At 54.9% G+C, this 14,317-nt stretch overlaps 1 protein-coding gene across 3 annotated transcripts, besides 4 other annotated features; it reads right to left on the bottom strand.

The window, feature by feature from the left end:
- Positions 1–6,191: 6,191 nt before the first annotated feature.
- VPS37D (VPS37D subunit of ESCRT-I) lies at positions 6,192–12,955 on the bottom strand. Of its 3 annotated transcripts, none has more exons than XM_017011779.2 (4): positions 12,514–12,955; positions 8,712–8,883; positions 8,200–8,282; positions 6,192–7,288 (listed from the first exon to the last, which is right to left on the bottom strand). In XM_017011779.2, the coding sequence occupies exons 1-4, from the start codon at positions 12,526–12,528 to the stop codon at positions 6,926–6,928; spliced, it is 633 nt and encodes a 210-aa protein (XP_016867268.1). In that variant the 5' UTR covers positions 12,529–12,955; the 3' UTR covers positions 6,192–6,925. The 3 variants fall into 3 exon arrangements, with proteins under 3 accessions (XP_016867268.1, NP_001071089.1, XP_047275883.1); NM_001077621.2 differs by lacking the exon at positions 12,514–12,955 and adding an exon at positions 10,206–10,471; XM_047419927.1 differs by lacking the exon at positions 12,514–12,955 and adding an exon at positions 9,937–10,145.
- Positions 9,314–10,309: an enhancer, noted in NCBI's record as "H3K4me1 hESC enhancer chr7:73082323-73083318 (GRCh37/hg19 assembly coordinates)". NCBI's record gives its function as "activates a minimal SCP1, AML or CMV promoter by ChIP-STARR-seq in naive H9 embryonic stem cells {active_cell/tissue: H9 hESC(naive)}" and the evidence as "EXISTENCE:reporter gene assay evidence [ECO:0000049][PMID:30033119]".
- Positions 10,291–10,590: a silencer, noted in NCBI's record as "silent region_18259". NCBI's record gives its function as "represses an Ori minimal core promoter by ATAC-STARR-seq in GM12878 lymphoblastoid cells {active_cell/tissue: GM12878}" and the evidence as "EXISTENCE:reporter gene assay evidence [ECO:0000049][PMID:35858748]".
- Positions 10,701–10,800: a silencer, noted in NCBI's record as "silent region_18258". NCBI's record gives its function as "represses an Ori minimal core promoter by ATAC-STARR-seq in GM12878 lymphoblastoid cells {active_cell/tissue: GM12878}" and the evidence as "EXISTENCE:reporter gene assay evidence [ECO:0000049][PMID:35858748]".
- Positions 10,811–10,860: a silencer, noted in NCBI's record as "silent region_18257". NCBI's record gives its function as "represses an Ori minimal core promoter by ATAC-STARR-seq in GM12878 lymphoblastoid cells {active_cell/tissue: GM12878}" and the evidence as "EXISTENCE:reporter gene assay evidence [ECO:0000049][PMID:35858748]".
- Positions 12,956–14,317: the final 1,362 nt, after the last annotated feature.

Below are 14,317 nucleotides of genomic sequence, written 5' to 3'. Positions count from 1 at the left end.
TGCAAACCATGGTGAGAGCTGAGCCTGGATCTCAAGACCTTGCGTAGGCCAAACATGCTCAACGCATGCAGAGAGCTCATCTCTCACTATCTGTCCTGAAGTCACAGCGTCGCTATGGATCTAGCCACCTCACCAGTGTCTCTTAAGGCTAGGGTCCTGTCACTAGTCTTGTGGTGGGTTGGCTCTCCCATCCTACCCTTGTCCCTTCAAAATTCACATCCTCAGCCCTGAGAGGGGACAGCCACTTTAGACAAAAGAAGGCATGTTTCAGGGCCTGGCACGGTGGCTCTTGCCTGTAATCCCAGCACTTTCGGAGGCCGAGGCAGGCAGATCACTTGAGGTCAGAAGTTCAAGACCAGCTTGGCCAACATAGTGAAACCCTGTCTCTACTATAAACACACACACAAAAAAATGGCCGGGCGTGGTGGCTCCCACCTGTAATCTCTGCACTTCGGGAGGCTGAGGTGGGCGGATCACTTGAGGTCAGGAGTTCAAGACCAGTCTGGCCAACATGGTGAAACCCCGTCTCTACAAAAATATAAAAATTAGCCGGGCATGATGGTGGGTGCCTGTAATCCCAACTACTCAGGAGCTGAGGCAGGAGAATCGCTTGAACCTGGGAGGCGGAGGTTGTAGTGAGCCAAGATCGCACCACTGCACTCCAGCCTGGGCGACAGAGTAAGACTCCATCTCAAAAAAAAAAAAAAACATTGGCTGGGCGCGGTGGCTCACGCCTGTAATCCCAGCACTTTGGGAGGCCGAGGTGGGCGGATCACGAGGTCAAGAGATCAAGACCATCCTGGCCAACATGGTGAAACCCCATCTCTACTGAAAATACAAAAAATTAGCTGGGCGTGGTGGCGTGCGTCTGTAGTCCCAGCTACTCGGGAGGCTGAGGCAGGAGAATCGTTTGAACCCGGGAGACAGAGGTTGCAGTGAGCCGAGATTGTGCCACTGCAGTCCAGCCTGGTGACAGAGCGAGACTCCATCTCAAAAAAAAAAAAAAAAAAAAAGGCATGGTGGCGCACACCTGTAATCCTAGCTACTCAGGAGGCCAAGGTGGGAGGATAGCTTGAACCCAGGAGGCGGAGGTTGCAGTGAGCCAAGATCATGACGCTGCACTCCAGCCTGGGTGACAGAGTGAGACTCCATCTCAGAAAAAAAAAAAAATGGCAGGGAAGGCCTGTTTGAGGAGTACAAAGAGCAGACTGGGATTTGGGGTTCATAGGCCACAGTCACCTTGCAGATAGTATTTGGCTGGCACAGTGTCCTAAAACAACTTTACCCAACATTCAAAATTTGGGCATAAAAACCGATTTTTTTTTTGAGGCAGAGTCTTGCTCTGTCCCCCCAGGCTGGAGTGCAGTGGTGCAATCTCAGCTCACTGCAACCTCCACCTCCTAGGTTCAAGTGATTCTCCTGCCTCAGCCTCCCAAGTAGCTGGGATTACAGGCACATGCCACTACGCCTGGTTAATTTTTGTATTTTTAGTAGAGACAGGGTTTCACCGTGTTGGCCAGGCTGGTCTCAAACTCCTGACCTCAAGTGATCCACCCTCCTCAGCCTCTGAAACTGCTGAGATTATAGGCATGAGCCACCGCCCCCATAAAAACAGATTTCTAATCTCTCAAAAAATGAGAAAATCTGCCAGGTGTAGTGGCTCATGCCTGTAATCCCAGCACTTTGGGAGGCCGAGGCGGGTGGATCATCTGAGATCAGGAGTTCAAGGCTAGCCTGACCAACATGGAGAAACCCCATCTCTACTAAAAATACAAAAAAATCAGCCGACGTGGTGGTGCACGCCGGTAATCCCAGCTACTCAGGAGGCTGAGGCAGGAGAATCACTTGAAGCCGGGAGGGAGAGGTTACAGTGAGCCGAGATAGCACCTTTGCACTCCAGCCTGGGCAACAAGAGTGAAACTCCATTTGAAAAAAAAAAAAAAGAAAGAAAATCTGCCACCATTCAGTTCACGTACCTGCATTAGCGCTGTGGGAGAAGCTCAGTAGCATTTCCCCTTTGAGGCCAGGTGCGGTAATGCACGCCTGTAATCCCAGCACTTTGGGAGGCCAAGGTAGGCGGATCCCTTGAGCCCAGGAGTTCGGGACCAGCCTGGGCAGCATGGCAAAACCCCATCTCTACAAAAAATACAAAAATTAGCCAGGCATGGTGGCACGCACCTGTAGTCCCAGCTACTTGGGAAGCTGAGGTGGGAGGATGGCTTGAGCCTGGGAGGTTGAGATTTCAAGTAAGCTATGATCACATAACTGCACTCCAGCCTAGGTGACAGACCAAGACCCTGTCTCAAAAAAAAAAAAGACAACAAAAAAAATTTCGTCCATTTAGATGAGACATCACTCCCCAATTTGCTGCACTTCCACCAACAGGGGTGAAGTGTAAAACGCCTTTTATCTACACACTTGCACCGTTTTTCCCATAGCAGAAAAACATTTCTGTACCCCATGTCCATCAAGAGGGAAAGCAAAAAAGTAAAAAGGTACCATGCATTTTCAGAAAAATAGGGGCAGGAGAATTTCTTCCTGGAAAGGGACTACTTTGCACCTCTGTGTCACCTTCCTGGCCCCTGTAGGCATTTGAGGTTGCAAATTCTTATATTGTATGTTGCTGCAAGAGCCTGCACTTTATGCAGGGAGGTTGAGTGAAATCTTATTTTCATTGTGGGACAAGGGGAATCTCTCCAGAGGTCTACAGCAATGATAAGCTTAGACACAACCAGAGGCCCTTTGGTACAGTAACACCAGTTCCTTCACTCAGTCTTTTGTGTATAATCCCCGTATACACTGGGATAAACCTGCAGCAAGTCCAACTGGGTCTCTTAGAAACCATTCGATTCTCCAGCCTTGGAGGTTAGGGGCAAGTTCTTAGCCATGGCTTTGCAGGGACTACACGATTCAGTGGTGAAGGTTTGAGCCCACACTGGTTGGAGCCTGCTTAGCTCAGTGAGCCTTGATTGGTTAGGAAAAAGAAAAAGCAATTTAATGTTACTATGTTTCATATTTGGAAACCAAGATGGGGAAGGTTAGAAAAATGCAGAAGCTAGTGATTCACAAACAAGGAGGTGTACATAATAGACTTTCTTGAGGAACAGGGAGCTCTGTTTTTATTAAAAGGGGTGGGAGTTTTATTTGGAGACTTCTTTGGTTTTGTTTTGTAAAAGCAAAATGGTATCTAATAGGTAGGACCTTTTTCATGAGCCCCCTGATGCAGACCCTCAAGTTTGTTTTCTCTCACAGATCACAGCCAGGAACATTCCTGGGGCCCCCTGAATCTAGAAGCAGCAAGTTCAAGAAGGTTTTAGGCAAAAGGAAGGGCCCAGAGTGCTGCACCTTCCAGAACATTCCAGAACCTTCCTGAACATTCCATGTACCTTCAAGCAAAAGGGGTTAATGATTTTTCAAACCATCCAACTGTAAGCCTTTCCATGGCCCACCCAGAACTGGGCCCACTCCACTCTGGTGGTGTCCATCCTCACCTGCCTCCGATCATTTTCAGGCTGGAGCTGAACACAGAGGGGTCTCACTCCCTGCCCCTCTAAAGAAGAATCAGCTCTGTGCAAGACAAGGTGTGTGGGAGGCCTTCTGAAGGACCCCATCTGGTTCCCATGGTAACACTTCTTCCTAGTCCCTCTCTTGTCCATGTCTCAACTTTCTCTGCTTCTTACCTACCCTGAGGAGGGGAGGCTCAACCTGGTAGCTGCTGCCTTCTAAAGGCTGCTCCCCAATTCATGATAGTGGAGAAAGGTCCAGACCTGCCCAACCTTTGCCCCTTTTTACCTTTTGGTTGCAAACTCTACACCATGTCAATCATGAAGGAGAGCCAAAAAAAAAAAAAAAAAAGTGGGGACCGGGCACTGTGGCTTACACCTGTGATCCCAGCACTTTGGGAGGCTGAGGCGGGCGGATCACGAGGTCAGGAGATGGAGACCATCCTGGCTAACATGGTGAAACCCCGTCTCTACTAAAAATACAAAAATAATTATAATTAGCCAGGCATGGTGGCAGGCGCCTGTAGTCCCAGCTACTCAGGAGGCTGAGGCAGGAGAATGGCATGGACCCAGGAGGTGGAGCCTGCAGTGAGCCGAGATCACGCCACTGCACTCCAGCCTGGGCGACACAGCGAGACTCCGTCTCAAAAAAAAAAAAAAAAAAAAAAAAGCCAGGTGCGGTGGCTCACGCCTGTAATCCCAGCACTTTGGGAGGCCAAGGCGGGCAGATCACCTGAGGTCAGGAGTTTGAGACCAGCCTGACCAACATGGAGAAACCCCGTCTCTACTAAAAATACAAAATTAGCCGGGCTTGGTGACACATGCCTGTAATACCAGCTACTCGGGAGTGTGAGGCAGGAGAATGGCTTAAACGTGGGAGGCAGAGGTTCCAGTGAGCCGAGATCGCTCCATTGCACTCCAGCCTGGGTGAGAAAAGCGAAACTCCATCTCAAAAAAAAACAAAAAGCAAAAAAAAACAAAAAACAGCAGGGAACCATGCATTTTCAGAAAAATGGGACAAAGGTACTTTTTCGTGGGAATGGACTGCTTTGCACCCTGGAAGCTTGGACCAGGAATGGGAAGCCAGGGCAGGAGGGGCCCATCCTGCCCCAGACTGTGCTGAGAAGGAGAGCATGGGGGAGAGGTCTTCCAAGGCTGCTCAGTCTTTGGTCATATCAGCAGGAACTCAGCGGTTCTGGTGTCCCTTGGCCTCCAGCAGCTGAAGTGCCAGCAGTGAAGAGAGTAGAACCAAGACCAAGGTGGGATGGAGGTTCTAAAGTGGGCACTCTCAGTGCTTAAACTGTGCCTGTACTAGGGGGACACTCTGACTGTCTAGGCCTGAGGCTCTAAAGCTCCCACAGCCCAATCCCTCTAGCTACAGCCGACATCTCTAAAAAGCCCATCAAGCAGTTGCTGCCCCCACATCGTCAGGGATGGGGACCATCCACCTCACAGAACACCCCTAACTTTTTTTTTGGGTGGGGGGACGGAGTTTCACTTTTGTCGCCCAGGCTGGAGTGCAGTGGCGTGATCTTGGCCCACTGCAACCTCTGCCTCCCGGGTTCAAGCAATTCTCCTGCCTCAGCCTCCTGAGTAGCTGGGATTACAAGTCCCTACCACCATGCGTGGCTAATTTTTGTATTTTTAGTAGAGATGAGTTTTCGCCATGTTGGCCAGGCTGGTCTTGAACTGCTGACCTCAGGTGATCCACCCACCTTGGCCTCCCAAAGTGCTGGGATTACAGGCATGAGCCACCGCTCCTGGCCTCATCCCTAATTTAAGAGCCTCAAACGGAGCCAAAATCCGGCCCCTTACGGTTTCCACCAATTGGTCTTAGCTTTGACCTGTGGTTCCCACCCACTGGTCTTGGCTTTAACCTCTGGTTCTAGGTGACCCAACCCTTTAGAGATTCAAAGGCTGAACATCACACACAAACACATTTGAAACAGATCCCTCAACTGTTCCTCACTGACTGTTCTTTCTCATCCTTGTTTCTCCAAAGGTGCCATTTGGGGCGGGTGGGGGGAGGGGACCCTCTTCCAGTAAAAAACTTAAGTGAAAAGCAAAGCTACCCCAACACCTTCCTCTTTCCAGATAGTTATGTCCTTATTAACATGGACCAACACCATATTAGCTTTGTAGGCTTCCACAACACTGTGACTGTCCCCTTTTGTTTGCAAGAACTTCCACGCCTCCCTGCCAAACTGCATCTCATTGGACTTGACCTAAGCTGACCCAGGGTATATCCCACCTCCTTGTTCCACAATCATCAGCCAAACTGGCACCTAGCATTCCCCCTGGCTGAGGACAGATGCCATCAGTCCTGCAAAATGCCCTCCATCACTCCGTGGGGACCGTCATTTGGCAGGCCAGAGAAGACCAGGTACCATCCCGATTGGGCTTATGGGCAACCCAGGAAAAGATGCGTACAGGTGAGGCAATTGGAGAACCAAGATGGAGCAGTGAGCGCTTCTGACTGGAAATGCCGGGAAGTTAAGATTTAGGAAAGGCTCTCAACGGGTTGGTAATCAGAGAAGGCTTCATGGAAGAGGCAGCGGCGGTGTTGGACCCGGACAGCTGGGCTTTGCATGGGCAGAAAGGAGGGGAGAGCATCTCAAAAGTAGGAAGTGGAAGCACAGGAGCTGAGCTGTGGAGGCTGCAACAGCAGAGAGGAGTCGGGCAGCATCGTCATCCTCATCATCACATTTATTGACGGCCCCTAAGAGGCGGGGCTGGGGACAGAACGTACAAAGACAAGGACCTGCCCTCAAAAAGCTTCCATTCTAAGGAGACAGGGACAGAAAAATACAGAATGGTCTTTCCTGGGTATGGCCCACTCTCACCTGCACAGGTCAGAAGCCCCTGGCCTACCTTGCCCCAGGGTCTGGAGCATGTGTGGACACGTAGTAGCCCCAGGGCCATGGTGTCCCTGGCCCCACAGCCGAGGCCTGATCACCTGGCTCCTAGGCTGTGGGCCCCAGAATTTGGGGGAAAGGTAGGCTCAGGACATGATGTAAAACACTCCTGGCGGCCTTGGCGTTGTGCGAGCCCAGTGGAGTGGTGGGGTGCGACAGGTCCCCTTGGCAAGGCCCCTAGGGGACCCAGGCATCTTCCCAGGCCCCTGTAGTTGAGTCAAGTTCTTTAACGGGGCTGGTCCATCACCCTAGAGGCCCCGGGGCACGGAAACAAAAAAGGCAGGGTGTCTTCAGCGCCAGAGGCATAAAGCCCTGCCCACCCACCCCCAGCCCCCTCTCGGGCCTCTTCCAGGGGACCCTCCTCCCCAGCTCAGCCTCCAGGGCCAGGGCCTGCCTGAGGCCAGGGGGAGGGGCCTGCCCCTCCCCCCACCCAGGCAGTGGGGGAGGAGGAGGAGCCACGCATCAAGTTTGTCTAGGCCCCCCAACTGGGGGGCCGCACCGTGGATCCTACCGGTGGGGGGGCTCTGGCTGCGAGGGCCGAGGGCTCAGCAGGGGGGCCGGGCCGAGGGGGCACCCGGGGGAGCCCTTCAGTGGGGGCACTGGGCGGGAGTCCAAGGGGGGCAGGCTCCGGGGCACTGCTGGTGGCCCCCGGGCGGCCCCAGTGGGCAGGACAGCTGCAGCCGGGAAGGATTTGGGGGGATCAGCAGCCGAGGTGGGGGCCGGCTGGGCAGAACGCTCCCGACGCCGCAGCAGCTCCTGCAGCTTCTCTGCCTGCGTCCGCCTCAGGTGGGCCAGGGCGCGGCCACGCTGGAAGGCAGGCAGGAAGGCCTCCAGGCTTTGCTCCCCGAGCAGCAGCTGCTCCATCTGCTCCTGGGCCGGGAGGGAAGGGAAGGCTTGGGAGAGGCACGACCACAGACTGGGGACTGGTCCTCACTCCTTCCCACCCTGAGGCCCTCCCCATGGTGATCACCCCTCAGCTGGGGGACAGGGGACCTGCGTTCCAGCCTGGGCCTGCCTCCGATTACTTGCTAAGTGAACTGTGGACAAATGTCCTCCCACTTTTTTTTTTTTTTCCTGAGACAGAGTCTCACTGTGGTCCAGGCTGGAGTGCAGTGGCGCAATCTCGGCTCACTGCAACCTCCACCTCCCGGGTTCAAGCAATTCTCCTGCCTCAGCCTCCCAAGTAGCTGAGATGACAGACATGCACCACCACGCCCGGCTAATTTTTTTTTGTATTTTGTAGAGACGGGGTTTCACCATGTTGGTCAGGCTGGTCTCGAACTCCTGACCTCAGGCGATCCGCCCGCCTCGGTCTCCCAAAGTGCTGGGATTACAGGCGTGAGCCACTGTGCCCAGCCCTAACTTCTAAAATAAGGATGCCATCACCAGACCTGCTGGATCAGAGATGAGGCAGGAGCAGAGGCAGGGACATATGTGAAGTATAGACTTAACATGTCCTTCGGGAGCCCACCACCTTCAGCTCACTGATCGCTGCACTCCCAACCCAGCACAAAGTCTGCCCCAGCTCCTCTGTAGCCCCAGATCCACGCTGCCCTAGCCCAGTCACAGGGGAGCCCGAAAAAAATTCACAGGTAGGAAAGTGAGCCCTGCTGGCTGTCCAGTGCTGGTGGACAGCAATGCTAGGCTCTGGCATGCGCCAGGCATTCAGGGTGGACTTCCCAGAGGAGGGGCTCCCCAGCCTGAGGTGTAAGAATGAGCCAGGGGGTGGCAGAGAATGGGTCTCCCTCCTGGCCCCCAGCCCCAGCCACCCCTCCCCTCACCTCTGCCTCCTGCTCCGCCTCTTCTAGCTCAGCCTGCAGCCAGCCCAGCGCGCAGTGGGGACTCCAGCGATGCATGCTTTCCTCTGAGGGCCACAGAGGGACAGAGTGACAGACAGGCCAGGGCCCCGGGCTTGCACTCTCCCGCTGACCCCATGTGATTCTATATTTCCCTTTCCCCTGGTCTAGAGCCTCAGTTTCCTCATCTGTACCGTGCCCATGTGACCGCTTTGTGGATCCGGCCCCTACCAAGTTTCTGCTCCTCGTCCTAGTACAAAAGAGACAGGGGAGGCTTTGTCCCCCTCAGCATCTCAGGGGGACCCTGCGTATTGGGTCCCCTTTCTCCCACCCAACCCTCCCCACTTCCTCTCACTTCCTCAACTCTACTGCCCAGCAAGCCAGGAGCAGGTCCGCCCAACTCCCATCCATCAGAGCCTGGCACTTCCCAAGGCCAACCCACCGGATGGCCAACTGCCCCCACCAGCCCCAGGGGGTTCTCCCAGACGTGCCCTCACCCAGTCGCTGCAGCTTGTCCGCGCAGTTCTCGGCCACCTCACGAAGCTCCTGGTATTTGATGGCCAGGGCAGCCCGGCCCATCTCCAGGCGGGGCCGCAGGGCCAGGTTCTCCTTGGCCAGCGCGTAGTTGGAGGCCAGGCAGGCCTCACGCTCCAGCTGCAGGCCCTGGAACTGCGGGCAGAGAGGAGCTAAGAGGCCCGCTCAGGGGATCTGCCCTGTCCACCCTACTGCCCCGTCCACCCTACTGGGCGACCGTGCCTGAGGGCCAGGCCAAAGGCACCTGTCAGGCACCCCTTCAGGGTGGTGAACCCAACAGGTGAAGGGACGATGACAGGCCGGGACCAGAACTGGCTCTGCCCTGAGCTCCCTCTCTGGCCTCAGTTTCCTCTTTTACAAATCGAGTTAAAAAACATCCACCTTATGGGGTTGTTGAGAGACTTAAGTGAGGAAAACTATAAAGGCCTCTACAAATGTTAGTTAATTTTTAATTTTTCAATTAATATGTCTGCTCAGGTCCCGGAGGAGTGCCCCTCCCTCCTCTGCCCCATTTTCCATGCATGGACAGCTTCCCTCTCACTCCAGGCCTTTGTCTGTTTCCTCCTCAGGTGTTTGCACCGAAAACACTCCCACCCCCTGCTCATCCTCTCCAGAGGGGTGTCTGCACCCCGTCCCCTCACAGCACCCCCTCGGGTCACCCTCTCTTCCCTTCCCACCCCTTCCTCTGCCTCCAGTGGAATCCTCACACCCCAAGGAATACACACCCCCTTTTCCTCCCTGCTCCGGGCTTACAGCAGCCCCGGCCCTGGAGAAGGCTTTTTCCTTGTCTCTAGCAGGGCCCAACCTCCCCTCCCTGCCCCTGGAGAACGCACTCCCCTCCATCTGTCCCTTGTGGGATGCACAAGCCCCTCCTCGCCTGCCTGCTTTCAACACACACTTGCCCTTTCTGCCCCCCACAGACAACCAGCCCGGGCCTATCTCCCGTGAAATATACAACTTTCTCTTACGGTGGCCTATGCAATACACACGGCAGCTTCCAGCACCCCTCCCCAACGCCAGGCACAAAGCCCCCTCTTGCGCCCCCAGAATGCGTGAACCCCCAACGGCCCCTCCAGGTGTCAGACAGGCCCCTAGTTCTCCCAGTGGAAGGCGCCTCCTCTTTCTGGCCCTTACAGAACGTGGGTGTGCGAGCCAGGGCCCCCCACAACACAGCCCCCCGGAACACACCTCCCCGGAGCATCCGCTGTAGGACACGCCTCGCGGCCATCCTGGGGGTGCACAGGCGCCCCCCTCGGGTCCCCGGCGCCCCACCCGCCCCAGGCCAGCTCCAAGCGCCCCCTCCCCCGGGGGTGGCTCCGCGGGGCCCACTCGTACGTGCCAGGCTCCGCGCCCACGGGCGGCCCCGCGGCCCGGCCCGCGCGGCCCTTCCCTCGAGCGGCAGGTCCCGCAGGCCGCTGCCCGTCCCCCGCGCCCCCCGCTCGAGCCCCCCGCGCTACCTTCCTGCTGAGCCGCACGATCCGGTCCAGCTTGGGCTCATCCTGAAGCAGGTCCCGGAGCTGCCCGGTGCTGAGGATCCCAAAGCGCCCCGGGCTGCCGGGCTCCGGCCCCGCCCGCGCCGCCCGGGCCCGGTACATGCCGCCCGCCCGCGCCCCCAGCTCGGCTGCTGGCTCGGCCCGCTCGGCCCGCTCCGCCCCGGCTCCGCTCCGCTCCGCTCCGCTCCGGCTCCAGGATCCGCTCCGGCTCCGGCCGCACGCACCGCTCCGCCGCCAGGGGGCGCCCCTCCCGCTCTTAAAGGAGCCGCGGCGCCGGGGCTGGGGGTGGGGCAGGGAGGAGGCGGGCCGCACCCCTCCCCGCCCCGGCCGCGCCGCGCCGCCTCCAGCACCCCAGGATCGCCCAGCAACCCGATCTCCCCGCCCCTCCCGGAATCTGAGCCGCCCTGCTCTGCGCCCCAGCACCGGCCCTGGCTCACCACGCCCCCAGGCACGGACTCTCCCACCCCGGGCGGTTACAATTTGCAGAGCCCGTGCACGTTTTCCCCTCGGATGGCAACAACAAATTTCTGACTTTGGCCGGGCGCCGAGGGCTCCTGCCTTGCAGCCCTCCCCAAGCCTCAGTTTTCTCTTCTGTAAAATGGGGTTGGAGATGGTGAGCGCTGACTTGCTGGCCGGGCGCGGTGGCTCTCTCCTGTAATTCCAGCGATTTGGGAGACCGAGAAGGGAGGATCGCTTGAGGCCAGGAGTTTGAGACCAGCCTGGGCAACATAACAAGACCCCCGTCTCTATTTAAAAAAATTTAAAAATTGTCAAAAGGGTGAAAAGAGGCCGGGCGCGGTGGCTCACGCCTGTAATCCCAGCACTTTGGGAGGCCGAGGCGGGCGGATCACGAGGTCAGGAGATCGAGACCATCCTGGCTAACATGGTGAAACCCCGTCTCTACTAAAAATACAAAAAAAATTAGCCGGGCGTGGTGGCGGGCGCCTGTAGTCCCAGCTACTCGCGAGGCTGAGGCAGGAGAATGGCGTGAACCCGGGAGGCGGAGCTTGCAGTGAGCGGAGATCGCGCCACTGCACTCCAGGCTGGGTGACAGAGCGAGACTCCGTCTCAAAAAAAAAAAAAAAAAGAGTGAAAAGAACAATTTTTAAAAGTATTTAAATGCTTTTAAAAAGTATCCGGACATGGTGGCATGCGTCTGTAGTCCTAGCTACTCAGGAGGCAGAGGTGGGAGATTGCTTGAGCTCAGTTTTGAGACCAGCCTGGGCAACACAGCAAGACCCCATCTCTATAAAAGTAAAATTAAAATGCTGAGGGATAGTGATATGGCTAGCAATGTTATAATGAATACACATAGTAGGTCAATACCCACTTGTTATTTTAGACATGCAGAAGCATCACAGAGGCCGGGCACGGTAGCCCATGCCTGTAATCCCAGCACTTTGGGAGTCCAAGGTGGGTGAATCATTTGAGGTCAGAAGTTTGAGACCAACCTGACCAACAAAAATTAGCCGGGCGTGGTGGTGGGCGCCTGTAATTCCAGCTACTCAGGTGGCTGAGGCAGGAGAATCGCTTGAACCTGGGAGGCGGAGGTTGTAGTGAGCCGAGATAGCACCACTCCACTCCAGCCTGGGCGACAGAGACTCCGTGCTCCGTCTCAAACAAAGAAAAAAAAGAAAAAAAAGAGATGATGTCGCCTCCCCAAAGTCACATTACAGGTAAATGATACAGTCCCGTTTCTTCTCATTTGTACAGTGTCCACAGAGCATACGATGCCGCTCTGCGCTGAACACTGGGTTAGGCCCTGTGGGGACACTGTCCCTGCCCTCAGGGAGTTCATGGATTAAGGCAGAGTCCCATTCCCACTCAACTAATTCTAGTATAAGACAAATGGCAGGTGTCACCTCATGATGGCTTTGTGATTCCCATGTGATCCCCGATATGTCCTGTACCTTGTCTTTACAAATAGGTTAAGCCATTGTCCCCATCTCAGGAAATAGACACTCAGAAATTAAGTCAGACAATGAGTGACCCAGCCTGGGCAACACAATGAGACCCCCATCTCTGCCAAACATAAAAAATAAAGTAGCCGGCCGTGGTGGTTCGTGCCTGTAGCCCCAGCTGCTCAGGAGGCTGAGGTGGGAGGATCACTTGAGCCCAGGAGGTTGAGGCTGCAGTGACCTATGATTTTGCCACTGTACTCCAGCCTGGGAAATGGAGCAAGACCCCGTCTCAAAAAACAACAACGACAACTGAGCTTGTTCCACCTTAATACACTGCTACAAAAGTACAAAGAGCAATTAGGAAGGCTTACCAGAGGAGGTGGCATTTGAGCTGGGTTTCAGAGGTTGAATAGGAGTTCTCAAGTTGAAGGAGAAAATGATGAAAGCAAACAGAAATCCATAAGCCAAGGCATAGGGGCGGGAAGAGCTGAGCAAGGACTCTCCCTATCCAGCCATAGCATGGTGGGCAGGCATGGTGCCAATGTCTGGGAGAAGCGGCAGGACAGCCTTGTTGACAGACCATAAAAGTAACACTTCTACTTTTTTTTAAAAACAGTTCTACATTTTTACAACAACTAAAATTGGCTTTCCCCTTCAAGACTCATCTGGAATATCACCACCTCCAGGAAGCCCTCTCCACCTTCCCAGGCTAGGGGGTTATTCCCTTTTCCTCTGGACTCACACAGTCCCTTCACTTTCTTTTTAGACAGAGTCTCCCTCTGTCGCCCAGGCTGGAGTCAGTGGTGTGATCTCAGGTCACTGCAATCTTTGCCACCCAGGTTCAAACAGTTCTCCTGCCTAAGCCTCCGGAGTAGCTGGGATCACAGTAATTTTTTTTTTTTTTTTTTTTTTTTTTTTTTTTTTTGAGACAGAGTCTCACTCTGTTACCCAGGTCAGAGTGCAGTGACGCGATCTCAGCTCACTACAAGCTCCGCCTCCCGGGTTCACACCGTTCTCCTGCCTCAGCCTCCTGAGTAGCTGGGACTACAGGCGCCCGCCCCCAAGCCCGGCTAATTTTTTGTATTTTTAATAGAGACAGGGTTTCACCGTGTTAGCCAGGATAGTCTCAATCTCCTAACCTCGTGATCCGCCCACCTCGGCCTCCCAAAGTGCTGGGATTACAGGCATGAGCCACCGCGTGCAGCCTTCTTTTGTGTGTTTTTAGTAGAGATGGGGTTTTCACCATGATGGCCAGGTTGGTCTTGAACTCCTGACCTCAAGTGATCCACCCGCCTCGGCGTCCCAAAGTGTTGGGATTACAGGCGTGAGTCACCATGCCTGGCCCCTTTCACCATTTATTTTAGCCCTTACCTTGCCTGTGGACTTCTCTTTGGTTCCATTATTTTCTCCCTCAATTTCAGAACTCCTATTGCACCTTTGAAGCCCAGCTCAAATGTCACCTTCTCTGGTAAGCCTTTCTGAGCTCCCCAGTTTGCTCTGCCTCCTCAGGGCCCATTGTGTTCACTAAGTGTTCGGGGGTCTCCTAGATACTCCCTCTATCCAGCCCTCCCTCGGCCCCTCCCACTTTGTGTTACAAGCCTTCTTCAACCTAAAAGGCAGTGGTCAGCGCCAATGGGAGGTTCCTACCTCAGCTTGTCCCCTCTTTCTCGCTGATCCCCCTTTGTTCAGCCTCAATACCCCACAACAATGCCCCCTGTAAACCTTCCCCATACTCCGCAGACAACCAAGCCCACTCCTGTCCCTCAGCAGATAACTCTCCTGCCAGTTCCTGTCTCCACATCTTTGCTTTTTTTTTTTTTTTTTTTGAGACAGTCTCATTGTGTTGTCCAGGCAAGAATGCAGTGGCTCGTTCATAGCTCACTGTAGCCTCGAACTCCTGGGCTCAAAGGATCCTCCCACCTCAGCTTCCACAGTAGCTGGGACTACAGGCCTGTGCCACTGTGCCCAGCTAATTTTTTATTTTTTTGTAGCAATATGGACTTGCTATATTGTCCAGGCTGGTCTTGAACTCCTGGACTCAAGTGATCCTTGCACCATGGTCTCCCAAAGTGCTGGGATTACAGGCGTGAGCCACCGCGCCTGGCTGCATGTTCTTTGCCTCTGTCCAGAGCCCTTCCTTCCCTACTGCCTCCAGGAAGGGCAACCTCTCTTCAT

The sequence above is a fragment of the Homo sapiens genome, chromosome 7, assembly GCF_000001405.40.
Source record: "Homo sapiens chromosome 7, GRCh38.p14 Primary Assembly".
Classification (NCBI taxonomy): Eukaryota; Metazoa; Chordata; class Mammalia; order Primates; family Hominidae; genus Homo; species Homo sapiens.
Note: the sequence above shows the minus strand (reverse complement) of the source record. Positions and strands in the feature narration are given on the sequence as shown.